At 38.5% G+C, this 27470-nt stretch overlaps 1 protein-coding gene and 2 long non-coding RNA genes across 4 annotated transcripts in view; 1 reads left to right on the plus strand and 2 right to left on the minus strand.

Moving 5' to 3' along the window:
- Positions 1 to 1005: 1005 nt before the first annotated feature.
- The window catches only part of TAS2R1 (taste 2 receptor member 1), a 276530-nt gene continuing 250065 nt past the window's right edge, over positions 1006 to 27470 (minus strand). The window contains exon 10 of one of the 2 annotated variants that reach the window (NM_001386348.1): positions 1006 to 3651. In NM_001386348.1, the coding sequence (NP_001373277.1) occupies positions 2792 to 3571 (780 nt within the window). In that variant the 5' untranslated portion in view covers positions 3572 to 3651 and the 3' untranslated portion in view covers positions 1006 to 2791. Of the gene's footprint in view, positions 4011 to 27470 lie in introns of those variants that run through there. The other variant, NM_019599.3, reaches the window with a different exon arrangement.
- Positions 3602 to 5555, plus strand: LOC124900938 (uncharacterized). Its single transcript, XR_007058688.1, has 3 exons — positions 3602 to 3676; positions 3943 to 4084; positions 5486 to 5555. It is a non-coding gene; the product is annotated as an uncharacterized LOC124900938 (long non-coding RNA).
- The window catches only part of LINC02112 (long intergenic non-protein coding RNA 2112), a 262510-nt gene continuing 250013 nt past the window's right edge, over positions 14974 to 27470 (minus strand). Inside the window, exons 12-13 of the long non-coding RNA NR_027112.2 lie at positions 15531 to 15600; positions 14974 to 15164 (exon numbers count right to left, since the gene is read on the minus strand). This is a non-coding gene — a long non-coding RNA (long intergenic non-protein coding RNA 2112). The remainder of the gene's footprint in view (positions 15165 to 15530; positions 15601 to 27470) is intronic.

Here is a 27470-nt window from a genome sequence, read left to right on the forward strand (position 1 = left end):
TCAAATTGTGACTATATATATATATATATATATATATATATATATATATACACACATATAATTTTTTTTTTTTAGATAGAGTCTCACTCTATCACCAGGCTGGAGTGCAGTGGCACAATCTCGACTCACTGTAACCTCTGCCTCCCAGATTCCAGTGATTCTCCTGCCTCAGCCTCCCAAGTAGCTGGGATTACAGGTGCACACCACCACACCTAGCTAATTTTTGAGTTTTTAGTAGAAACAAGATTTTGCCATGTTGGGCACGCTGGTCTCGAACTACTGGCCTCAAGTGATCTGCCCACCTCGGCCTTTCAACAAAGTGCCGAGATTACAGACTTGAGCCACCATGCCTGGCCAATATTTATCTTCTTAAAAGTCTATTTCTATAAGCACACAGATTTAGCCTTCTCTGTTGGTGTCATCATCTTCAGTCAGTGGAGACTGTGCAGAACCCCTGGGATTAGGGACTGAAAGAGCCAATGTCAGAATAGAGAGTGGGACAGAGTAAGATAGCCCTTCTCTCCTGATTTGGGCCTGCTCATTGAATCCCAATCTAAAGTGGAATGGAATAAGACTGCTGGGTCCCATTTCAATAAGAGTCTGCCTCCTAGCGCAGAGACTATTTGGAAGCCACAGCCAGAAGCCACTTAACTGAGCAGCAAGCGCTGCCACAGTCTGCAATCAGCAGTCAACTGGCCTCACCTATGGGCATGCGATTCCACAGCCAAGACTCCCCAGGGCATAATGTCCAGCCCCATCTCTAAAGCTACAACAGTGGGTACAAAAAGATGTTGCACCATGATAGAGGTCAACCCACTGTTCAATGAGGACAAAAGCAATTTGGCAAAGCTGGCAAGTGCAGATAAGCGTGGCTCCAGAGAGACAAAAGCTCAGTCTGTTTTGCTTCTCAATTTGAGCAATTAGCGTCCTACGCAATACCCATCAATTCAAAAGCTAGGCAACGTTTCTGGAAGAAATACATTTCTAGGAAAGTAGACTATGAAAATGTTTTTAGAATTGTTTTATTATGAATTCTTTTTTTAAACATTTCTTGATAACAGTATAAAAACCTAGTCATATCTTAATAGTTATCTAATTAGCTAACGTTATTAAAGCAGGAGTTGCATGAAATAGAATCAGAATTTAGTATCAGAAAAAAAAACACATGAGAGTTGTATCATGACAAATTTCTCCCTGAATGTTTGAAATTGCTCCCACTCTTTCAGGTACACGTATCACAGATTCAAGGAACAGAATATTCTCTGAACTTGAGAAAAAGAAAAGTGACTTTTCATTGTCCTTTCCCCCATTCAGAAGCAATAATTACACCCAGGATACAACTGATCTTCCCACAGCTGGCTTCCTGAGTGCGTGATTAGCTACAAACCTTCCTACCTAGTGGGACGTGGGAAAATGAAATAGCAGGAAGATGGAGGCTGTCATTTTGCTCCTTGGGGAATGAAGTGTGAAACCTGTGGGAAGTTGAGAGTACACTCAGAGCTTAGTTCCCATGCCCAAGAAGATAAGTACGTCCCTGAATCTCCTGAAGCAAAATCCTTCATTGGTGTATTATAACCAGGCCTGCGTGGCTTGGGTTAGAAAAGCTGTATTTGGGTTCCTATTACTGGTGATTGAAAAATCTAAACCTAAACCTGCTTTGCATCATCACGCCTGAACTACAAGTTACCGCTGAGCTTAAGAACATTTTTTACTTCATTTACTTGTCTGGAAGCAAAATGGTTCTGAAGCTGTTTTGGAAATATACAAGTATATCTATCTCCATAATTTATCTATCTATCTATCTATCTATCTATCTATCTATCTATCTATCTATCTCTTAGTATTCAAAATCTCAACCAAACAGAAAATGCATTTGTGACTTGAAGCAGACGGAGACACCCCCAGCCCCACCCACCTACTGATGTTGCTTCATTGGGAAGACAGGCAATGCAGGAGGAGTTCCAAATTACCACTCTGGGTTGAAAGGGTCTCAAAGTCAGGCACACAAATACAAAATAAAACATCTTTGCAAGTTATTGTCTGTTCAGAGTGCACAGCTAGGAGAAATGGAAAACAGGCATTCAGTCCTCTACTCCTCCTCCTCCTCCATCTGTCTTCCCCTTTATCAGTTGATTGGCCATGTCACCATGGCATCTAGGCTCTCTGCAGGATGAAGTAGGAGAATATGCTTATAAGGATGGAGAAGGCCTGCTTGTCCTTGCTTCCTTTGTGATCTGAGGAGAAAGAATGGCTCCACTGCCTGCAACTCCAACAGACAGAACAGAAATAATATCCAGGTAGACAAGAAATGAACAGTCAGCCCGTTAAGGTCAGGAAAAACCATCAAAGACAAGGCGTCAGATATTCATGGACCATACAGCATTCATGTGTCCTTCTGACATCACGAGTTCAAACAAGTGCTTTTCTTTTTCATCAAACTTTTAATTTTGAAATAATTGTAGATTTGAATGCATTTGTAAGAAGGAATACAGAAAGACCCTGAACCATTTACTCAGTTTTCCCAATGGTAACAACTTGCACGATGATAGTACAATATCACTACCAGGATATTGAAATTGATGTAATCCATCAACATATGTTGTGCTTTCAAAATCAGTTTAACTGCTTGAAAAAGTAGCATATCCACAGAAATACCTCAGGCTGGATAAACAGGCCTGAAGGGGACATGTTGTATATTTATGAACAGGCTGCTTTGTCTGGCTGAGGGAAGTGTGGCAGGCATGGGTAAATCATTGAATCATGGGTTCTTTGAACTGATCCAACTTCTCTCTCACTGACAGCACTTACTGTGGAGGAGGAACTTTTTTGCATTTTGTTTCAATTTAGGATTTCCTAAAATTAAGATGAGAGAGTGTCCAGAAGGGTATATACCAATCACAAGGATGAAGAACAGAAAGATGAACCTTCTGATGTGAAACTTTAGAGAAGAGAGAAAAACTTTTATCATGCAGTGGGAGAAGTAGAGGATCAGGAAGGACAGGATAGACAGCAACGCGCTGATGGGTGCACCCCTGCCAGGAACCCTGCTGCCGGCCACTGTGTTTCTCATTTGCCGGGTGTGCCTCCCCAGAGAGAAAATCAAGAGCAAAACAGCAAAAAGGAAGATAAGCAATGGCACTGAGAACTCAGCAACAAAAGAGAAAATCTGTATAGCCAGTGTATCTTCTTTTTGAATTGTGGCATTTTGGGAGAAAAATTTCCTTAGGAAGTATGGGACCATAAACCCTGCATATTTGCTATGGAAAACACAAATCATAGATACATATAGCAGAGACCCCAGGATCATCCATGGGACCAGCTTGGATATCCTCATCTTCAACCAGATGAAGAGTGGGTGACGGACGCTGGCAACCTTGGCACAATAGAAAACGCCGAGCCATGTGGCAAGCCAAAGTTCCAATTCATTTATAAATAAGAGAATTGCACAATTCGCAGAACACATGATGAATTCTATGAAGAAGATAACAATCACATTAACGTAGAAGATGAACAACTGCAGAAAAATTCTAGAAACTGCCAGACAAGAAAGAAGGAGATCCAGCGGAGCCATTTTTCTGTGCTTGATCAAGTCAATGCCATTCACCACCACAATGATGCCATTTGTGAAAATCCCAAGAAGAAATTGTATCACTGCAAGAAGAAAATAGATAATGAGGTGAGACTCTAGCATTTTAGGAATAAAAAATTATTTACTTAAAAAATAATGAAGTTATAAAGTTTTGGACAGGTTGGGTTGTTCACGCTCTTCAATTAGATCAGGACTCCTCTGGGGAAGAAGACTAACAATAAAGGCATGGGGCAGGAAGGTGGTGTACATTTGTTTATGTCACTGCTTTCTCTATTTAGTTCTGAGACAGTCAAATAAGGAGGAGATACTCTAGCATCAATTTGCTTCTTATTGATGGCTTTTGCATTTTACAGGTTTACCTAGCTTTCAAAGTCATCACAGGCAAATAATGGAATCAGACACCTTCAGACAGCTGGGAGAACAGCTCCTCCATAGTAATTAGCCAAAGATACTCAATTCTTCATCTCTACTATGAATAATTGATTTTGCCTACAGGTGTGATTCTACTTAATGTTATCGTGTACTCTTTAAAAATATACATTTTTGAAATTTTCACTTATGTTATGATGATATGGTACAACCAGCAACATAGGACTCCTGAGTAGTTCTCCAATATGCAATGGTTGAGCAATTCAAAACTATCTGTAAAATAGTTATAGAATAAAATATACATAATAAAAGTATCTCTAAGTATAAAATCAAAGTAATTAGGCTTGCACATACATGTGTACACCAGGTCAAAGGCCTAAAGAAAAGTAAGGTGTAATGAAATGAAGACAAGCACTCAGCACTGTTCACCCTGGTCAGCATCTGCAGAGTAATTCAGGGGTTAAAATCTTTTCTCTCTTATTTTTCCAAAATTATGAGAGTTTTATGACATGAGCTAGTTGTTCTAGTAGAAAAGTAAAGATAAAATAATACATGATTAAATTTGTTGCTTTCAGTCTGTAATGCACTATGAAAAATTAAGTTGGTATTTCTTAATATGTATACCGTGCTGCCTGTAATGCTGAAGTGGGTTTTCTCAGTCTTTACATTATTGACATTTTGGGCTACATAACTCTTTGTTAGGCACGGGCTGTCCTGTGCAATCTAGGAAATGCAGAATGTCTACCACATGCCTGTCCTCTACCCACCAGATACCCTCCCCAGGCTGTAACAGCCAAAATGTTTCGAGACATTGCCAAATGTTCAAGAGTGGCAGAACCACTATGACGGGACAAAGGTAGATAAAGTATAGTTTGTACCTTCCAGTTATCCCAAGACTAAAGGCAGAATGAGCCACATATATAATGTGATATAAAACTAAGTCCTCTCTCTCTCTTTAGAGACAGAGTCTTGCTTTGTCACCTAAGTTGCAGTGCAGTGGTATAATCACAGCTCACTGCAGCTTCAAATTCCTGGACTCAGGTAATCCTCCTGCCTCAGCCTTCTGAGTAGCTAGGACTATAGATATGCACCACCATGCCTGACTGCTTTTTAAAAATTTTTCATAGATATGGAGTCTTGCTACATAGCCCAGGCTAGCCTTAACCTCCCGACCTCAAGCAATTCTCCTGCCTCAGCCTCTTGAGGTATTAGGATTATAGGCATGAGCCACCACTCCCAGCCAAGTTAGTTCTTTAGACAATTCATCACCAGAGCACAAAGTGGGGACCAATTCAATAAACACTGGGGGAATTAAAGCTTCTCCAACTTAGCACTTAATCAAAAGGTACCTGGCAGACCTGATAATGAAGCATATGTCTTAATGAACGTGTGTTACTTTGTCTAAATGTGTCATAAAGAATACTTAAGATTAATCTTATTTTTAGAAAACTGGAAGGGAAGTCATATTTTAAAAAATTAGTCGTGAGAGTAAATCTGTAGGTTCTTTTATGGCTCTTCTCTGAATAGGACCATCTATGCCATCTTGGACTCACTCTGTTCTTCCTGACACAACTACAGTGAGATGAAGGAAAGAGACAGGATCATCTTCAAGGAAGCACCAAGGGAGGTGTTCATGAGCAGATGCCATCAGAATGGATCCAAATGCAAGCATGCCAGGAGGATGAGCCTTGTTTTCCCTCCAGTAGAAAGAAGAAGAAACTTTGCAACTTAGAAGAAACATTCTGCAGCTTAGAAAAACAGAAATGTAAGGGCATGCAGCTATGAAATACAAGCATACTTCCATAATACTGTGCATTAAATTCTAGACCACCAAAATACAAGAATATTGCAATAAGGCCAGTCACACTAATTTGTTGGTTTTCCAGTACATATAAAAGTTATGTTGATACTAAACTGTGGTCTATTAAGTGTGCAATAGCACTATGTCTTAAAAAAAGATATACATACTTTAATTGAAAATACTTTATTACCAAAAAATGCTAATGATCATCTGAGCTTTCAATGAGTCATAATCTTTTTGTTGGTGTAGGGTCTTGCTTCAATGTTGATGGCTGCTGACTGATCAGGCTGGTGGTTGATGAAGGTTGGGTGGCTGTGGCAATTTCTTAAAATAAGACAGCAATCAATTTTGTGCATTGATGAACTCTTCCTTTCACAAAAGACCTCTCTGTAGCATGTGATGCTGTCTGACAGCATTTTACCCCCAGTAGAACTTTCAAAACTGGAGTCAGTCCTCTCAAACCGTGCCACTACTTTATTAACTAAGTTTATGAAATGTTCTGAATCCTTTGTTGTCATTTCAACAATGTTCACAACTTCTTTACCAGGAGTAGTTTCCATCTGAAGAAATTATTTGCTCATCTGTAAGAAGCACTTCCTCATTTCTTAAAAACATCATCATAAGATGACAGCAATTCAGTCTCATCTTCAGGCTCTACTTCTAATTATAATTCTCATTCTATTTCCACCACATCTCCGGCTATTTCCTCCACTGAGGTCTTGAACCCCTCCAAGTCATCAGGAGGTTTGGAGTCAAATTCTTTTACACTCCTGTTATTGTTGGTGTTTTTTTTTTAACCTCCTTCCATGAATCACTTCTTAGTGGTATCTAAAATGGTGAATCCTTTCCAGAAAGTTTTCAATTTACTTTGCTCAGGTACATCAGAGAAATCACTGTCTATGGCAGCTGTAGCCTTATGAAAAGTATTTTATAAATAATGAGACTTGGATGTCAAAATTACTTCTTGATCCATGTGTTGTAAAATGAATGTTGTATTGGCGGGCATGAAAACAGCATAGATTTCCTTGTACATTTCCATCAAAGCTCTTAGGTAACTACTCTTAGGTAACTAGATGCATTGTCAATGAGCAGTACTATTTTTTAAAAACGATTTTTTTCTGAGCAATAGGTCTCATTCATTTTTTATGGCTGAGTAGTATTCCATAGTGTGTGTGTGTGTGTGTGTGTGTATATTATATATATATATATATATATATATACACAAATGTTCTTTATCCACTCATTCATCGATGGGCATTTAGACTGGTTCCATATTTTTGTAATTGCAAATTGTGCTGCTATAAACATGCATGTGCAAGTGTCTTTTTCATATAATGACTTCTTTTCCTCTGGGTAGATACCCGGGAGTGGGATTGCTGGATCAAATGGTAGTTCTACTTTTAGTTCTTTAAATAAACTCCATATTGTTTTTCACAGTGGTTGTACTAGTTTACATTCCCACCAGCAGTGTAAATGTGTTCCCTTTATACCACATCCACACCAACATCTATTATTTTTTGATGTTTTAATTGTGGCCATTCTTGCAGGAGTAAAGTGGTATCTCATAGTGGTTTTAATTTGTGTTTCCCTGATAATTAGTGATGTTGAGCATTTTTTTCATATGTTGTTGGCTATTTGTATATCTTGAGACTTGTCTATTCATGTCCTTTGCCCATGTTTTGATGGGATTATTGGTTTTTTTTTCTTGCTGATTTGTCTGAGTTCCTTGTAGATTCTGGATATTAGTTCTTTGTCAGATGCATAATTTGTGAATATTTTCTCCTATTCTGTGGGTCATCTGTTTACTCTGCTGATTTATTTACTGTGCAGAAACTTTTTAGTTTAATTAGGTCCCATCTATTTATTTTTGGTTTTGCTGCATTTGCTTTTGGGTTCTTGGTCATGAACTCTTTGCCTGAGCCAATGTCAAGAAGAGTTTTTCTGATGTTATCTTCTGGAACTTTTATGGTTTTAGGTGTTATATTTAGGTCTTTAATCCATCTTGAGGTTGTTTTTATAAGGTGAAAGATGAGGATCCAGTTTCATTCTTCTACATGTGGCTTGCCAATTATCTCAGCAGTATTTGTTGAATATGGTGTCCTTTTCCCACTTTGTGTTTTTGTTTGCTTTGTCAAAGATCAGTTGGCTATAAGTATTTGGCTTTATTTCTGGGTTTGCTTTTTTGTTCCATTGGTCTATGTGCCTGTTTTTATACCAATACCATGCTGTTTTGGTAACTATAGCTTTTTAGCATAGTTTGAAGTCAGGTTATGTGATGCTTCCAGGTTTTTTATTGTTGTTGTTGTTGCGTAGTCTTGCTTTGGCTATGTGGTCTCTTTTTTGGTTCCATATGAATTTTAGTTTTTTTCTAGTTCTGTGAAGAATGATGGTGGTATTTTGATGGGAATTGCATTGAATTTGTAGATTGCTTTTGGCAGTGTGGTCATTTTCATAATATTGATTCTACCCATCCATGAGCATGGGATGTGTTTCCATTTGTTTGTGTGATAGATGATTTCTTTCAGCAGTGTTTTGTGTTTTACCTTGTAGAGATCTTTCACCTCCTTGGTTAGGTATATTCCTAAGTATTTTGGGTTTTTGCAGCTGTTGTAAAAGGGACTGAGTTCTTGATTTGTTTCTCAGCTTGCCCATTATTGGTGCATAGCAGTCCTACTGATTTGTGTACACTGACTTTGTATCCTGAAACTTTACTGAATTCATTTATCTGATCTAGGAGCTTTTTTGATATGTCTTTAGGGTTTTCTAGGCATACAATCATATTACTGGTGAACAACAACAGTTTGACTTCCTCTTTACTGATTTGGATGCCCTTTATTTCTTTCTCTTGTTTGATTGATTTGGCTAGGACTTCCAGTACTATGTTGAATGAAAGTGGTGAAAGTGGACATCCTTGTCTTGTTCTAGTTCTCAGGGAGAATGCTTTCAACTTTTTCTCATTCAATATAATGTTGGCTGTGGGTTTGTCCTAGATGGCTTTTATTATCTTGAGGTATGTCCCTTCTATGCCAGTGTTGCTAAGGGTTTTAATCATAAAGGGATGCTGGATTTTGTCAAATGTTTTTCCTGCATCTATTGAGATGATCATATGATTTTTGTTTTTAATTCTGTTTACGTCATGTATCACATGTATTGACTTGTATATGTTAAACCATTCATGCATCCCTAGCATAAAACCCACTTGATCATGGTGGATTATGTTTTTGATATGCTGTTGAATTTGGTTGGCTAGTATTTTGTTGGGGACTTTTGCATCTACTTTCATCAGGGATATTGGTCTGTAGTTTGCTTTTTTTGTTATGTCCTTTCCTGGTTTTGACATTAGGGTGATACTGGCTTCACAGAATGACATAAGGAGGATTCCCTCTTTCTCTATCTTTTGGAATAGTTTTAGTTAAGATTGGTACCAATTCTTCTTTGAATGTCTGATAGAATTCAGCTGTGAACACTTTTGGTTCTGGACATTTTTGTTGTGATTTTTTTTTTTTACTACTGTTTCAATCTTGCCACTTGTTATTTGTCTGTTCAGTTTCTATTTCTTCCTGACTTAAGCTGGAGAATTGTATATTTTATCCATTTCCTCTAGATTGTTTAGTTTATGTGTGTAAAGGTGTTTATAGTTGCCTTGAATAATTTTTTGTATTTCTATGGTATCGGTTGTAATATTTCCTGTTTCATTTCTAATTGAGACTATTGGATCTTCTCTCATTTTTTCTTGGTTAATCTCACTAATGGTCTATCAATTTTGTTTATCCTTTCAAAGAACCAGCTTTTTGTTTCATTTATCTTTTTTGTTGTTTTTGTTTCAATTTCATTTAATTCTGCTCTGATATTTGTTATTTCTTTTTTTTCTGCCAGGTTTGGGGTTTGTTTGTTCTTGTTTCTCTAGTTCCTTGAGGTATGACCTTAGATTATTTATTTATGCTCTTTCAGACTTTCTGATGTAGGTATTTAATACTAAGAACTTTCTCATAACACTGCTTTTGCTGCATCCCAGAGGTTTTAATAAGTTGTCTCACTATTACCGTTCAGCTCAAATAATTTTTTTTAATTTGCATCTCGATTTCATTGTTGACCCAAAGATTATTCAAGAGCAGATTATTTATTTCCATGTATTTGTATAGTTTTGAGAGTTCCTTATGGAGTTAATTTCCAGTTTTATTTCACTGTAGTCCGAGAGTGTACTTGATATAATTTTGATTTTCTTAAATTATATTGAGACTTGTTTTGTGACCCATCATATGGTCTATATTGGAGAATGTTCCATGTACTGAAGAAAATAATGCATATTCTGCTGTTGTTTGGTAGAATGTTCTGTAAATATCTATTAAGTCCATTTGTTCTAGGGTATAGTTTAAGTCCATTTTTTCTTTGTTGACTTTCTGTCTTGATAAGCTGTCTAGTGCTATTAGTGGAGTATTGGAGTCCCTCATCTATCTCATTTCTTAGGTCTTGTAGTAATTGTTGTATAAATTTGGGAGCTCCAGTGTTAGGTGCATATATATTTAGGATTATGATATTTTCCTGTTAGACTATCCATTTATTTTATCATTATATAATGTCCCTTTTTGTCTCTTTTTTACTGTTATTGCTTTAAAGTCTGTTTTGCCTGATATAAGAATAGCTACTCCTGCTTGCTTTTGGCGTCCATTTGCATGGGATATCTTTTTCCACCCCTTTACCTTAAGTGAGTTCTTACGGGCTGGGTGAGTCTCTTGAAGATAGCAGATACTTAAGTGGTGGATTTTTATCCATTCTGCCATTCTGGGTCTTTTAAGTGAAGCATTTAGGCCATTTACATTCAATGATAGTATTGAGATGTGAGGTACTTTCTATTCATTGTGCTAGTTGTTGCCTTAATACCTTGTTTTTTTTTTTCCATTGTGTTATTATTTTATAGGCCCTGTGAGATTTATGCTTTAAGGAGATTCCATTTTGGTGTATTTCAAGGTTTTGTTTCAGGATTTAGAACTCCTTTAAGCACTTTTTGTAGTGCTGGCTTACTAGTGGCAAATTCTCTTAGCATTTATTTGTCTGAAAAAGACTTTATCTGTCCTTCATTTATGAAGCTTAGTTTTGCTGGGTACAAAATTCCTGGCTGACAATTATTTTGTTTCAGGAGGCTAAAAATGGAACCCCAAGCCTTTCTGGCTTGTAAGGTTTTTGCTGAGAAGTCTGCTGTTAATCTGATAGGTTCTCCTTTAAGGGTTATCTGATGCTTTTGTTTCACAGCTCTTAAGATTCTTTCCTTTGTCTTGACTTTAGATAACTTGGTGACTATGTGCCTAGGTGATGATCTTTTTGTGATTAATTTCCCAGGTTTTCTTTGAGCTTCCTGTATTTGCATGTCTAGATATCTAGGAATGCCAGGGAAGCTTTGCTCAATTATTTCCTCAAACAATTTTCCAAACTTTCAGATATCTCTTCTTCCTCAGAAACACCAATTATTCTTAGGTTTGGCCTTTTAACATAATCCCAAATTTCTTGGAAGCTTTGTTCATTTTTTAAAATTCTTTTTTCTTTGCCTTTTTCTGATTGAATTAATTCAAAAACATAGTCTTCAAGCTCTGAATTTCTTTCTTCTACTTGTTCTGTTCTATATTTAAAATTTTCCAGTGCATTTTGTATTTCTCTAAGTGTATCTTTTATTTCCAGAATTTGTTAGTGTTTTAATGATACATATTTATTTTGATAATTTTTCATCCATATCCTACATTTTTAAAATTTCTTTAAGTTTGTCTTCACCTTTCTCTGGTATCTTCTTAAGCAGTTGAATAATCAATCTTCTGAATTCTTTATCTGGCTTTTCAGAGAGTTCTTCTTGGTTTGGATCCATTGCTGGGGAGCCGGTGTGTGTGATGTTTTGGGGTATTACAGAAACCTGCTTGTCATCTTACCAGAATTGCTTTTCTTGTTCCTTATTTGGGTAGACTATTTCAGTGGAGAGGTCTAAAACTCAAGGCCTGCTGTTAAGATTCTCTTGTCCCATGGGGTGATCCCTCAATGTGGTGCTCTCTTTCTTTCCCTAGGGATGGGGCTTCCTGACAGCTGGACTGACTGCAGTGATTGTTGTTGCTCTTCTGGGTTTAGCCACCCAGCAAGGCTACCAAGCTCTGGGCTGATATCAGGGGATGTCTGCAAAGAGTCCTGTGATGTGATCTGTCTTCAGGTCTCCCAGACATGGATTCCAGCACCTGCTCTAGTGGAGGTGGCAGGGAAGTGAAGTAGACTCTGTGAGAGCCCTTGATTGTAGATAGGTTTAGTTTTCTGGCTTTCTTGAATGCTGGTTATACTAGCAGTGAAGTTGTCATGTGGACAGACTCAGGGCCTCTGCTTAGCCAGGATATTGCAGGCAGTGGAATTAGGTGTTGTCTTCTCCTTCCTGGGGTCAGGGTTATTCTGTCCTGAGTTGCTTTAATGACCTGAGTTGGTTGTCCTCCAGCCGGGAGATGGCACTTTCAAGAGAGCACCAGCTGCAGTAGTAGCAGGGGGCTGTAAGCTTGCCCTAAGATGGCCAGGGTAATTATTTTGGTTTCTCATGTGATGTGTGGGGCCATAAAGCTCCCAAGAATTTCTATGTCTTGAGTTTGGCTACCAGGGAAGGTAGGGAAATACCATCAGGTGGAGTCAGGGTTAGGTGGGTGTGGGCTCAGACTCTCCTTGAGTGGGGCTTGCCACAGCCACTGTGGGGGATGGAGGTGGTGGTTCTCAGGCCAATGGGGATATATTCCAGAGAGAATCTTGGCTACCTCTGCTGTATCATATAGTTCACCAGGGAAGTGGGGGATAGCCAGTAGCAAGAGGCCTGACCCAGCTCCCACACAGTTGGTGAGGCTGGTCTCACTCCAGCAGTGCCCCCGCTCAGTGCCCAAGACCATGCGCACCCCACTGGGAAAGCAAGCATGGCTTTCAGACCTAGCCCCTCTCCACTGCCCGCTCCATTGGCAGCAGCTCCTGTGCTTGCTTGCTTATGCCTGCAGCAGCTCCCACTCACACCCCAGACTCTGCTCAAGAAAATTTGTGCCCAGTCAAAACCATTACCAATTTCTGATGGGAACTTCCTTCACCCTGTGACCCCTCCGCAGTTGTATTGGCTGGCTTCCCCAAGGGACCCTGTGAGATATACTCAATGATGGCTTCCCTGGGCTCAAGCTGGAGACTGGGAGTGCATGCAAGGTACTACCCGCTGCTACTTCTACTTTTATATTTGGCACAACTCCCTAAAACCATTTTATCCCTAGGTAGGTTAAATCCTTCTCCTGTGATCTGGATTTTCAGATTCCCCAGTGGGTATGTGTGTTCAAAGGTAGGTTTTCCTCCTATCATGCTTTGGGAACTCACAGTTTTTTGCCTGTTTTGTGGAATTTGCAGCAGCACGCCACTCTTTCAAAGGATCTGTGAATTATTTTGGTTTTCCTGGCATGTTCCTGCAGTGGTTCTTGGAGCAAAAGATCATGATGTGAGTCTCCACACACTGTTCTGCCATCCATGTGGAAGATGCACATTAGGCCGTTCTCTGCCATCTTCCCCCGATCTCCAACCTTAGCTAAATCTTCTGAATTGCTGCAGCTTCTACATAAGCACTTGCTGCTTTACCTTGTACTTTTATGTTAGATGGCTTCTTTCCTTAAACGTCATGATCTATCCTCTGCTAACTTCAAACTTTTCTTCTGCAGCTTCTTCACCTCTCTCAGTCTCATACAATTGATGAGAGTTAGAGCCTTGCTCTAGATTAGGCTTTGGCTTAAGGAAATGTTGTGGCTGGTTTGATTTTGTATGAGAGCCCTAAAATTTTCTTCATGTCAGCAATAAGGCTATTTTATTTTCTTACACTTGAGTGTTCACTGGGGTAGCACTTTTAATTTTCTTCAAACAGTTTTCCTTTGCATTCACAACCTAAGCATTTGGCCTATCATGGCTCTCAACATGCCTTTCTCACTAAGATTAACCATTTCTAGCTTTTAATTTAAAATAAGAGACAGGCAACTCTTCCTTTCACTTGAACACTCAAAGGCCATTTTAGTATTATTAATTGGCCTCATTTTAATATTGTTGCAAGTCAGGGAATAGGGAGGCTCAAGGAGAAGGAGTGCAATGGGACAGCCGGGTAGAGGGTCAGTCAGAACACACACAACATTTATCAATCAAGTTTGCCATCTTGTTTGGACACAGTTGGTGGTGTCCCCAAACAATTACAATAGGAACATCAAAGATCATTGATCACAGATCACCATAATGATACAAAAATAATAAAAAAAGCTTTCAGATAGTGAACGAATTACCAAGGTATGACAGAGACATGAAGAGAGCACAAGCTGTTGGAAAAATGACCCCGATAAACTTGCTTGACACAGAATTGCCACAAACCTTCAATTCCTTAAAAAAAAAAAAAAAAAAAAAAAAACAGTACCTGTAAAGCACAACAAAGTGAAGTGCAATAAAATAAAATGAGGTATGCTTGTAGGGAAGCCAAGAACTCTCAGAAAAGCAGTTACTGCTAGTTCCTTGGTTTCTCAGTCAAGCGTCTATCACTGCACCTGTCCTTTCTATTGCAAATCTTGGTTAACCCACCTGCGCCCTGCAACACTCAGCTCTGAGAAGCAGATTTGTGCTTTCTTCTCATCCTCAGTACTCTTCATTCATTAATTCACTTGGTGTTTAACATAAGGTGGGTGTGTTAAGTAAAACCAGACTCAATTATGTAAGGGAGGAAAAGAAAAATAAATATTACCAGAGGAAAAAAATAAATATTAGCAAGCCACTTAGAAAGACAGTCATTGTTTTCTAGCTCTCTCTTCCTGGAGAACCCAGACCATGACACCAGCATGGAGTTCATCCCTGTTTGCTGTCATATTGCCATGACATTTCTGTACTGATCCCGTGGTGTGCGCCTTCAGCAAGGTCCTGGCATTTCAGTATTGCAAGAAAAGTAACAAGAACACTAAAGTGGGAAAGTGAAAAAAAAAAGTTCACATCCTGAGTCTAGGATAGCAATACAGTTTTTCGGCCCTGACAGGAAACTAGCAGAGATAATACATATTGCACCAAAGACTTAAAAGAAATAACGATGTCCAATTCTATTTATTAGCATGCTATTTGTCTTTCGGATTCTAGGATCCTGAGGGGCCATTTGGTTCTCAGATATTCTATTACAACTTTTGTTTTAACTAGCTTGGGGAGCAGAGACAATTCTTCATAGAGAACTTTATTTTGTGTAGAATAGGTCTTTTGATATGGGAATCCCATGGAGTGAAAAGTAAAAATTCATAAGGCTTGTGCTACATTTTTTTCATTACATAATTTCTGTCACTGTCTCTTCCATGGGCACACACAGAGTCTGCCAAAGATTCACCGTTCCTCACTCTCTTGAGACTCACTCTTCTTACCCTGGAGGATGGAAAAATAAGAGACGTCTGTCTGTAGGTGTGCAGCATTCATGTGACTGCTAAACTAATGTCCCCTTTTGCTTCCTGAATGAGCCTCCTTTCAGTGCTGGGGTGAAGACCCCCAAGGACATGTTCTCCAGCCTTCCTCTGAATCTACTGCATCAATCAAGCCACAGATGTTGGTCATGCTCTTGCACTAAGCAAGAGTGAACTAAATATTTTAACACTCAACACAACAAATACAATTTTTAAAACAATGGCACTGAGTATAAAATCCTTTTAGGTCTTTAAACAGTTTGTTTTAGTGAGAAGGGCACATCAGAGAATTTCTGGCTCTCAGATGAAAAACGTATATGTCTGGCCTCACCTGTCAGTCAGTGGCTTGGAACGTTGACAGTTTTACATGGACAAATAGCTTGGAACAGATGGGACAAGACCTGATGTGGAGAAATTCACATGATTATTACCCTGTATTACCCTGATTAAATCCATTCACTTGCACTCATCTTAATGAGCAATCATTAAAGGAGACAGCACTAAATATTCTTGAGGTAACTGACAGGCGGAAAGAGTTGCTTATTTATATTCAAATCATTTAGCTCCTCAAAAGAAAGTGCGATTTTTTTCACATGCAGTTAGATTGACGTTGGAAAGCTTTTCATCAGGTAGAAGGCTGTAATGTTCATCTTTCTGCTTTCCGGCGGCACTTGGACATTTGCTTTGGTATTAGAGGCATCATGAAAGTGAGTGGTGGTTTTAATACCTTTCCCAAGTGGGCCCTCACACTTCATTATCAAGGGAACAATTCCTGCTTTAAGAAACATGTGCATGTATTAACATTGTTGTATATTTAATAAGATCATTCAAATAAGGAAGAAATAGACTCTGAGCAAACCAACCCAGACATCCTTTCTGAATCTTCCCGATAGCAGAGCTCGGCCCTTGTAAAGCCTATTTGGAATTTATTTCATTTAAAATTCACAACGTCTTGGTTAAAAAGCACCAGATTCTTTCAGGCTAATCATTCTTCAGATCCATTCATTTGCTTCTCTCCACTTGAATTTGCAGTTGATCTTTTAGACTAAAATTTTTGTCTTTAATATTCAGGTCACTTTCATATACTTGTCCCTTCCCTTGCTCAATTTATTCTAGTAATATATTTCTGTGCTTTTTCTTACTCCACTCAATATTCTGAGATGTATTTGCAATGCAGCAAATAGAATAATGGAGCAATGCAATACATTGAATTTAAGTCTTCCACATAAAGAACTCAAAGTGCTTTACAAACAAGAATCCCTTGTTAGTTACAATGAGGAAACAGAAGCCACAGATGCTGCAGTTGAATCATGGGAATAGTCTCTAGTCCTCACGATTTTGTCTTCAGCTCTAAACTGAGTTCCTCCGTGGAATTTCAAATCCTTCCTTGCTTCTTCCCTCCCTCCTTCTCTCTTTCTTTCCCTTCTTTCCTTTTTCCTTCTTTCCTCCCTCCTTCTTTCCTTTCTTTCCTTTTTCCTTCTTCCCTCCCTTCCTCTTTATCCTTCCTCTCTTCCTCCTTCCCTCCCATACCCCAGCACACACTTATTGTTTGTATTATGAACTAGGCACTGTTCTAAGCACACAGCATTTACAGCCATGCACTGCTTAATCACAGGGATAGGGGATACACTGTAAGAAAGTAATCGATAGACAATTCCATCACTGTGCAAACATCATAGAGTGCACTTACACAAACCTAGATGGTATAGCCTACTACACACTTAGGCTGTATGGTATAGTCCATTATTTTGCTCCTAGGCTACAAATCTGTACAACATGTTACTGTCCTGAATGCTGTAGGCAGTTATAACACAGTGGTAATTATTTATTATTTGTGTAGCTAAACATAGAAAAAGTACAGTAAAAATAGGGTACAAAAGTTGAAAAATGTCATATGTGTGTAGGGCAATTACCATGAATGGAGCTTGCAGGACCGGAAGTTGCTCTGGGTAAGTCAGTGAGTGAGAGGTGAGTGAATGTGAAGGCGTAGGACATTACCCTACTATACACTTTATAAACATTATACACTTAGGCTACTCTAAATTCATAAAAAATAAAGTAATTGTGCTAGGACAATACAATGGCTTTGATGTCACTAGCTGATAGGAATTTTTCAACTCCATTAAAATCTCATGGAACCACCATTGTATATGCAGTCCACTGTTGATGTAAATGTTGTTATATGGTGCACGACTGTAGTAATGAACAAGACAAAGCTTCTGTCATCTTGGAAATCACACTGTAGTGGGGAAGAGGAGAGTTAAACAAGTGAAGAAATAAATAATTCCAGGTAAAGTAGAAAGAGGTGCTATTTTAGAAAGTGTGGTCAGGAAAGCCTGACCTCCCCAGAGAGGAGGTGATAAAAGACCTGGATGGAAGATCTGGGAATGAACACTTCAGGCAGAGAGAGGAGGAAATAGTATCCTCACTCCCCATCCCATCAATAAAAGAGCTTGCAGCATTCCAGGAATAAACAATGCCCAGCAACCCTGCAATGTGTGGGGCAGTATGAATAAGGCAGAGCAGAGAGGAAGTTAGAGGGGAAGGCATGGAGACTGCATCTCACCCTCAACTGAATGGGAACCCATTGAAGTGTTTGGGTGAGGGGGAAGCTTTGTTATAATCACATTTATATCCTACAACATTTACTCTGACTGCTGTTATTTAAAGAAAGGCATTTACTCTGGAGAACATATGTGGAGGTTGGGAGAAGGCAAGTGTGGAAGTAGAAATAACAACTAAAGGCTGTTGCAGTAGACCAGGCAAGGCATGTTGTTAGCTTAAATTAGGTTGGTGGTCAAGATGGGAAGAAGTGGCTGGACGAGGAATAGATTTTGATGGCAACACCAACAGGAAATTCAGTTGGCTTTGATGGGGAGTGAGGGAAAGAGAGGAATCAAGAAATACTCTTGGGTCATTGGCATTATCCCCTGGTGAGCAATGGAGCCATTTTTCAAGAAGGAGAAGGTTGAAGGAAGGTTAAAATCAAGAGCTCTGTGTGGACATGCTCCTGAGACGGCTACTGCAGGTAGAGATGATATTATGTCATGGATGGTAAGTTTGGAGTTTGTGGGAACTATCAAGTTTGGAAATATGCATTTGGAATTTGCTAGCATATAGAGGATATTGAAAGCCATGAGGTTGGTTAAGATTATGTAGGGATGAGATTGCCAGCTGGAGTATCTGAGCACTGTAAATAAGAAACCACATTTTGTGCATTCGTGTCACTTCGATTGTCCTGTCTGATGCCATCTCTTTGTGGAAGGATGCCCTGACGAGAGCAGAGTAGGTGAGTCAGAGCTTGCATTACTGAAAGCAATTGTGGAACTAGTACTAGTCATGGTTTCCTAATCTCTTTATGTATGGCTGATTTTATTTGCTGTTTCATTTAGAATTTTTCCTCCTTCTAAGGAAGATTGGTCTGCAGATTTTTATTGGTGCTATATTTAATAAATTTGATTATCTATGTTATGCTGGATTTATCAAAAGATTGTTAAGCTTTTCTTATTTCTATGCACCAGAACAAATTAAATAACATGGGAATTATCTGTTTATTTGTTGGATGGAAAGAATTCACAGTGAGAAATTCTGGTGCCAGAGGCATTTGGGAAGAGGCAGAATACTTACCAATCATTTAGTGCTTACAACGCTAAACAATTGAAAGGCATAACATCAATTTGTCCTCTTGACAATTTTATGAAATCAGTATTCTTTCCACTTTAGAGATTATTAAGTTGAGGTGCACTGAGGTCTGGAAATTGCCCTCAGTCATGCAGCTAAAAAGCAGCATTTCCAAGTTGTGGACCACAATCTGATTTCAAATGCTATGCGTGCATTTAGCCATTAAGCATCACCGCGTCCTATGTTAATACCCACAGTGAGAGTGAAGATTCCTTTCAGTGGTTCAGGCATAAAATTTGGACAGCTGCCATTTACTGCCCATCTGGCATTTGTCCCCTTGCCTTTACCCTGACTTTCTTTCCAGGAACCACTCTCCTCCACCCTTGTTTATGGGCCTTACTTGGGGCTGACTCCATCACTGAATCCAGGAGTAGTCACAGAAACCCAGGTGTGGCAGTCAACATATCCATTCACCTGAGCAAAAGAGATATATCCAGGGATAAACATGAGACCCAAATTCATCAAGTCAGAACTAATCCCAAAACTTCTCACTGGGCAGGCTCTCTGCAGACAGGATGGTTGCCTGGCATATCCATCTTGCCACCATGAGAGAAGGACTTCAGCCTGCCCAAGAATGGATTCCATCCAGAGGACAAAAGTGCCCAGAAAAGAGAAAGCAAGACCATGTTCTCCTCAGAATATGTCAGCCTCAGAACCAGCCCTCACTTACTGCTGGCCTTGACATTTAAATGAACCCACAAATTCTCAGTTGTTACTGAAGTGGGCTTGAGACGGTTTTTTGTCACATTGGGTGTGCTGAAATAGTTGTGGACTATTATAGAAAGGTAATGATGTATTTTCTATTTCTCATAGTTAGTAACTGGAACCAGACAAATTATCTGCCTAAAGCCAGTCATTTAGTGAAGTAACTAGGGCCCATACCTGTGACTTGTATATTAGAGTTTTGAGTATTCTATTCACTAGATCATACAGTTTTCTCAAACATATCTGTGGAAGTTACTTAGAAAAAATAAAATACAAATTTCTTTTCTGGATTCTTTCCCTATACATTTAGTTATTCATTTTCCATCACTTAGTTACTCTGACGGCTCAGATTTTATTGTGCTATAGAAGAGTTCTCAAAGCATAAGGTTACCATATGGGCATCAGAAGTTTTATTCATTCCAAACCGAACAGAATGTCTTTGGCATTGACTGGCTATACTTTGTTCAAAAGATGCATGGTCAAATATATTTTCATATGAATTTGCATATATGTGGCTGCACAACCATTGGATTGGACACATGGAAGATGATAATGTGTGCTCTTGAAACAAGCAGTGCCATTTCTGCCCTGGTCCAAACTCAAATGGTTCTCTTTTGTCGTAGGAGTCAAATTTATTTTTCCTGCCCTTCAAAGATACAATACTTCCTTACAAATTACCTCGCAAGGATAGAACTGGGTATTTCAGATTTTCATATATAGAAGCTGCCCTGGGTCTTGCTGCTGCCTCTCCCCTTCAAAGCAGCTGTCTCCAGATACAGGATTGCCAGCTTCCAGAAGACCAAAATTGTTGTGCCTTGCTTTGATTTTCCAGAATGTGGGACCAGCCTTTGTGGTTACTTAGTTCATGTGTTTTGGGGAAACTGAAGCTATCTCTTGCACCCAGGAATAGACATAAATGTGTGGGTAAAGATAGGGATGCTCTAGAAACAGCTGCTGAACTAACAATGAAAACAAATGAATACAATTTCTCATCTTTAGGAAGTCATTGCTAGCCAAACTATTACTATGCAAACTATGTAATATTTGTCATAGCGTATAAAATATTATTCCATCTACCCATATTTGTGGACATTTGTAGCAAATAAGTGGGGTAAAGGATAGGGACTGTGACAATGATATGGCATGAATCTCACTGACTCAGAGGAAATGAAAAACCATGAACTCGGCTTTTTAAATTCAATACAGTAAACTTAATACAGAACCACATCAAATCAGATCTGTAAAGGATATTAATGATTATTTGTGCCAACTCCTTACCATATGTGAAAAGAGAAAATAGAATCCCAACAAAGATGCATAAGACCCTGTACCTTGACCCAAGGACTATTCAGATGTCTTGCATTCTAGAAAAAAGAATATTGTGGATTTATTTGCTTTAGTTTTGACCAGCACAGCCTCCACAGAAGCATAGTCCAACTCAGTGGGTGGATGTTATCCACAGTGGCAGCTGTTATCACCCCAAGGCAAGGCTAGTGACCATGCTTTTGAGGAGAGCTGTGCAAACCCCACATACATACATTTGAATCTCACCACAGTTGACTGAAAAACCTAGATATAGGAGTCTGCACCTCCTCCTCAAAATGTGAGAAAAGTAAAAAACATTTAGCAATGGTACTCAAGGTCCTCCAGCCACGTGAATAGAGCAAAATTGGTCCAATATATTTTAAATTACAATAGTAGTATATTAGAAAGGGAAATATAAGGGAAACTTTTAGTTATAATTTTCTGTAGACATTAATATTTATTCTTGTATACATCAGACTTTCTACAGATAGACGCCATGATAATATAGAAGATTCATTTTATGAAATATTCTTTCTCAATTATTCACAAATCTGAATGTTGTCTTGTTATCGTTAAGTACATAATATGAATTTATTATCTATTCTCCCTGCCTGGCATGAAACATCATTTAGATAATCATAGATTCTACTGAAGAGGAAGAAATTTGAATAATGTTAACAAGCAATTCATGGTGGGGCTTTTAGTCAACTTTATTTTTCTAGTTCGACTTAACATAGTGATTCACAAAGCTTACTTCCTCCTAAGAATTCACATAACCATGAAAAAAGTACTTTTGGCCATAAAACAGGATGAGATCAAATGTATCTCAAAAGCAACTATTGTCAGCTATATTCAAAATGCATCATTCTTTGATCTAAAATGGAGAAAGTAAGTGTGGCCATGGCTACACAGCAGTATGGATTGGGGAGAGAATACTTCAACATGCAAGAGAAAAATGTGATCTTAATTATAGGGACTTGTAATTAATGCATTTCAGGCCTCAACATTTAAGTTGCATTTTGGTAACTTTTAAGTAAATAAAAATTTTAAATGAATAAATAAAGCTTTTAAATAGTTTTTAAATAAATAACTTAAAACTAAGAAATCTGTTTTTATGCCTTTTTTCCAATCTATCAAATTGACAATATAACAGATCTGCATTGTTCCTGCATCATTTCAGGTGGCCTGAAATTTGACAAGAAGAGGACATATGAATGTCTTCTGTAAGGTTAGATGAAGATCCCAATGCACTGAGTCAAGGTCTCTGAATCGTGGGGAACATGAGGTAGTTACCCCAAGCAGAAGCAGAGGCCACATCCCTCAGCTCGGTGTCCAGTGGCCCCACATTCATTCATACTGGGAGATAGCAGCAAGGAATGATACTTTCTTTGCAATACATGGTACTGTCGAAATGAAAAACTCAATAATCCCTTACAGGATCTCCATCATTTTTTTCGGGGGTGGGGGGTAGCTAGGGACGTATAGACTCTATACTAACAATCTTGGCCCTTAACTAGAAATATCATGGCCGACCAGTGACCTTTTGGATACATATGGACCTCAAGCCAAATACAGCCACAGCAAGGCCACAGGCTCATGAAGAGGAAGAAGGCAGGGTCGGTGCCCAGGCATCCTTCGAGAAGCTCTGTCTCCAACTTTTCTCATCTGGAAAGCCCCTCTTCCTTTTGCTCATTGCAAAATCTGACTTAACACTCTTTTATCTGGCAGTGCTTAAAGTGAGTTTGACCTGAGGTCCACAATTGCTAATTGTTGAAAGAGAACTAGAAACACTTGCTTAATTCCGAGGGTCAACATCAAAAACAAACCTGACCAAAGTTGCAGAGGAGGTATTTTACAACTAACAACAACCTTAACCTGACTTCGTTTATCAAATGTCCTCAGAATTATGATACACCCAGATCTTTGGCATTGTATTTTTTTGTCCACCGAACAAAACCGGGAAGCTACCAAAAGTCATGCATGGAATTCATGTGTACCACTAGCAGTGTGTGAGATCAGCAGAATGTTTCTGAAAGCTAAGAGCTGTATTCAAAGAACTGATCACAATTGCATTTGAAATAAGTTATCTGCCACTATTTCTTTTGGCCATAATGTGGCAAATGTTATATAGACAAGAAAATATTTAGTAAAAGTTGGAAGTATTTGCAAAATATTTGTGCAGAAGTTTGCATCTTTAATTGTATGACCTCATTGTAGTTGCACAGGGAGACTCCAGCTACATCTTATCTTTTCAAAATACTCCTGAGCAATGGCTTTCCTACAACCTCTTTGGAATGTAGCATTATCAGCTTCTATTTCCCCAATTTCCTATAATTCAATAAAAAGTCAGCAATAACATGTCCAAGGGCATGTTATCTCAAATGTGGATTTTAATGAAACACAAATATGCCCATGCATGTTTTAGCAAATTGTTCTGGACCATGCAAAAATGCATTAAAAGTGGAGGCATATTTACATTTGTTTTGCATTTGTTATTTAAGAGGTCAGACTATGCAAAGTGCATCCACTTTTGTCAATAGCTTCAAGGAGAAGAAAATTTTATTAAAGTTAGATTCATGACAAACAGATGAGTTAATATCTGTCATTTGGGGGAAAAGGTTTTGAGAGGCTACATTTTTAAAATAATAGGCATTTATTACTTTTCCAAAACTGAGAATACTTAACAAATGTGCCTGTCTATTTTAAACCAGGTATACTGGTCTGCAGGTAAATTTCCAATTAAAAAGCCAACTTAATTATAAGCAGTTTACAGCACAAAGGGAGATTGTTATATAGTCTGGAATTGGCCCTGGAAATTTTAATATAAAAAATAAAATTAGTAGTAGAAGAATAAAAGACATTTAGTGATTTCCAAAAACTTTTAGAGACAATTCTTGCTCAAGATTTACAAATAAAGAATACAATAGAAAAATTTGTATTCTAAGATGATAGAAAACAATATATTCTAACGTTGCTTAAGAGATATAATCTTACGTACTTGCTGGATTTGTTTGTGGTTGCCTTTGCCAAAGGAAACTTTTTTCAAAATTAAAGAATTTTTTTTTTCCTAAACCAGCCTCTGCATTTGCCCCTGAATGCTGGGGAAAAAAGGGTGTGCAGGAGGGGTGGGCACAATAAAAACTGTGTGTGTGTGTGGTGCATTTTCTATACACTCCCGGCTATGTAGGACGGACAGACCCATTTCTACAGTGTTACCTGGATTCTCTATGTAGCTACAGACCTACTACATTGGGGATTACACAACTCTATGCCTCTAATATTATGTTGGGCTTTGTTGGACACAGCACACCAAGGCCAGGGTGGACCTGGTGGTGTGCACATATGCTGTCCGTGAAGTCTGAAGTCTAACATACTTAGAACATTCCTTCTTCCAGAATCACATGGATTCATGACCTCTCCTAATTCATCTCTATTTAAATTTCACTTCATCACAAAAGACTTGGTCCGATTATCACACCCCACATCACCAGCATTCTCCTCATCCCTTTCCACTGCTCTGTTCTCCTTATTTGGTTAGTACTTACTACTATCCAACATATTTTCTGTCCCTCTTCCTAGAATATAAAGTTCCATTAGAACATAAACTATTTTTCTTCGCTGCTATATACCCAGTAACTAGATGGTGCTTGGCACATGGTGGGTGCTCACAAATTTTTATGGAATGAATGTATAATTAAATGTTTAAAATAAAAATACAACTGCTGATCAATGACACTGCAGAAAGGTCCACCAGAGAATGCAACCTGAAGATTGGCAGGGAAGTAATTCATGAAATGGCTATTGTTCTGAACACTTAGAAAGTATTAAGATTTCTTCTACCTGCTTCTGACAGACTCAGAGTATAAAAAGTTTCAAAAGACTGTGCTGTGGTGTGGAGAAATTCCAAATGGAAAAATTGAACATATTCTGTCATCAGCTCCTTTCAGACAGATGCTCTCAAGGTGATCGATTTGGCAGTCCTGGGGAGGGATGATATTACGTTTCACATATACATCACTGGATTAATCCTCATTGTGGTATTAAATCTAATTAACATAAATCTGTGCAGTGACTTATGTTTTAAATGATGGGGTAATTATTTAAATACTTTCTACTATGAAGGGAGTTGCGGGCTTGGGTTGGAGAGACATAGCCAAACCAGAAATAGGCAACAAAAGACTTTCCAGAAGAAAAATGTGACATAGTCCAATAATATGAGTGTTACTTAAGAACACCTAATACGCTAAATACTGATCTGACAAAGAAGATAAATTGAGAAATGATGATTCATATTCCCAAAGATTTTTTTCATGTTAATATAAGCATATTTAATGGAGAAATCCATAACAGATTTTAAAGCTTTCATTTTCTAAAAGAGTACGACTCAAATTTTTATAAACATATGTATGATATCAATAGAGGTAAATCCATCTCATTTGAGTGAGTGCAGCTCCAGCTTTGTGTAGATCTTGAGCATCCTTGGTGAGGGTATGAGAATGAAGAACACTCCGGAGACCAGAAGCAACTTATGACTCACCAAAGCTCTGACTGCCACTCAGTAGCGTTCTAAGCCCTCCATTCATTCCCATTCCACTTCAGTGCCAAGCATCTGAGATGGGAAAGTCATCTTCAGCCCACCAACAAGCCCTGAGCGGCTGGGCGTCCATCTCCCCATCTGTACCAGTGGCACACATCACTGTTCCATTCATCATGTCTATGAACTTGATCTGATTTTTGTCATGACTGTCACTATAAAAGTCACTCTGCATGAGTGTCAGAAGGAAATTTAGAGGTCTGTTGCTGAGGTAATATATTTTCAGATCAAAATGTGGGTTATTGAAATCATTATATGTATATTCACATGACTACATATTATCATGTTAGGAGATGGGACTGATCATGGAGACATAGTATCTCTCTGCATCCCATGAGACATATCTTTCTTACACAATTCCCACTGCTAGGAAGATCACTGAACTTTCCAGAAAGACGTTCACCAAATACGCTCTTAGTGGGACCCAACTACACATCGTCTGTGGCAGAGACCTACAGTTCTCATGAGTATCTGAGCAGCTCTTTTTCCTGGAAACACAGCTGAACACTTCCCAGGATCCCTTGGATTATGTGTGTCTCTGTGACAAAGTCCAGCCAATGGAACATGCCTAGAATCAATGTGGGCTACTCCGGGGCTGGGCCCATAAACACTACCCAGTTACTATCGTCATCCTCTTCCTCTTCACTGGCTGAGTAGAGAGGATTCCAAGGAGCTATAGGGAGGGGGAGCCACAAGACGGAAGGATGTGGCTTCCTGAATAATGGGATGGAGATTTACCATGGCTGCCTGCCCCCACCACACACACAATGGACAGAAATAAGAGAGAAAAGTAAGCTTTTATTGTATTAATCCATTCAAATTCAGGGCTTGTTTGTTTTATGATTAACATACCCTGACAAATAAAATGAACTTTAATGGTTTTTCAGAATCTGTTGCATTTCATTTTCTAAAAGATTACAATGCAAATTTTTATAAACATATGTATGGTATCAACAGAGGTAATCCTTATCTCATTTGAGTGAGTGCAAATGAGATATGCATTTTTCTTCTGTTGCATTTACTTTTCTAAAAAATATTATTTTAATTGTGGTAAAATACACATATCATAAAAATTGCCATTTTAATCACATTAAGTGAACAATTCAGTGGCATTGGGTACATTCACATTTTAGTGTGTGTTACCATCAGCCACCTCCAGGATGTTTTTCACTTTGGAATCTGAAGCTCTATACCCATCAAACAATAACTCACCATTTCCTACTCCCCACCCCAACTGCTAGCATCCACCTTTCTGCTTCCTGTCTCTATGATTTGACTACTCTATATACGTTTTCCGAGTGGAATTATATAGTATTTTGCCTTCTGTGACTAGCTTATTTCACTTGGCATGTTGTCCTTCAGAATCACCCAAGTTGTAACATACGTCAGAATGTCCTTCCTTTTTATCACCCACGTTGTAACATACGTCAGAATGTCCTTCCTTTTTATCACCCACGTTGTAGCATACGTCAGAATTCCCTTCCTTTTTATCACCAATGTTGTAGCATATGTCAGAATTTCCTTCCTTTTTAAGGCTCAATAATGTTCCATTTTATGTATAGACCACATTTTGCTTATCCATTCATTTGTTGATGGATGCTTGGTTTACTTCTACCTTTTGGTTGTTGTGAATAAAGCTGCTATAAACATGGGTGTACAAATAACTGTTTGTGACCCTATTGTCAGGCTTTTTGAGTGCAAATCCAGAAGTAGGATTGCTGGATTATGTGGTAATTCCATTTTTAATTTTTTGAGGAATCATCACTATACGGTTTTTCACAGCAGCGACACCATTTTACATTCCCATCCATAGTGCACAGCCATTCCAATGTCTCTATATACTTGCTCACTCTTACTTTCTGTTTGGATTTCCTAGGATCTTAACCTCCAGAAAACATAAACAAAAGAAGTGCATGATACTGTATCACTTACTGTCATAGATTTTAATGAATATATCTGAAAATTCGTTTCAAACTAAGAGCTATT

This window comes from Homo sapiens, chromosome 5, assembly GCF_000001405.40.
Source record: "Homo sapiens chromosome 5, GRCh38.p14 Primary Assembly".
Lineage (NCBI taxonomy): Eukaryota > Metazoa > Chordata > Mammalia > Primates > Hominidae > Homo > Homo sapiens.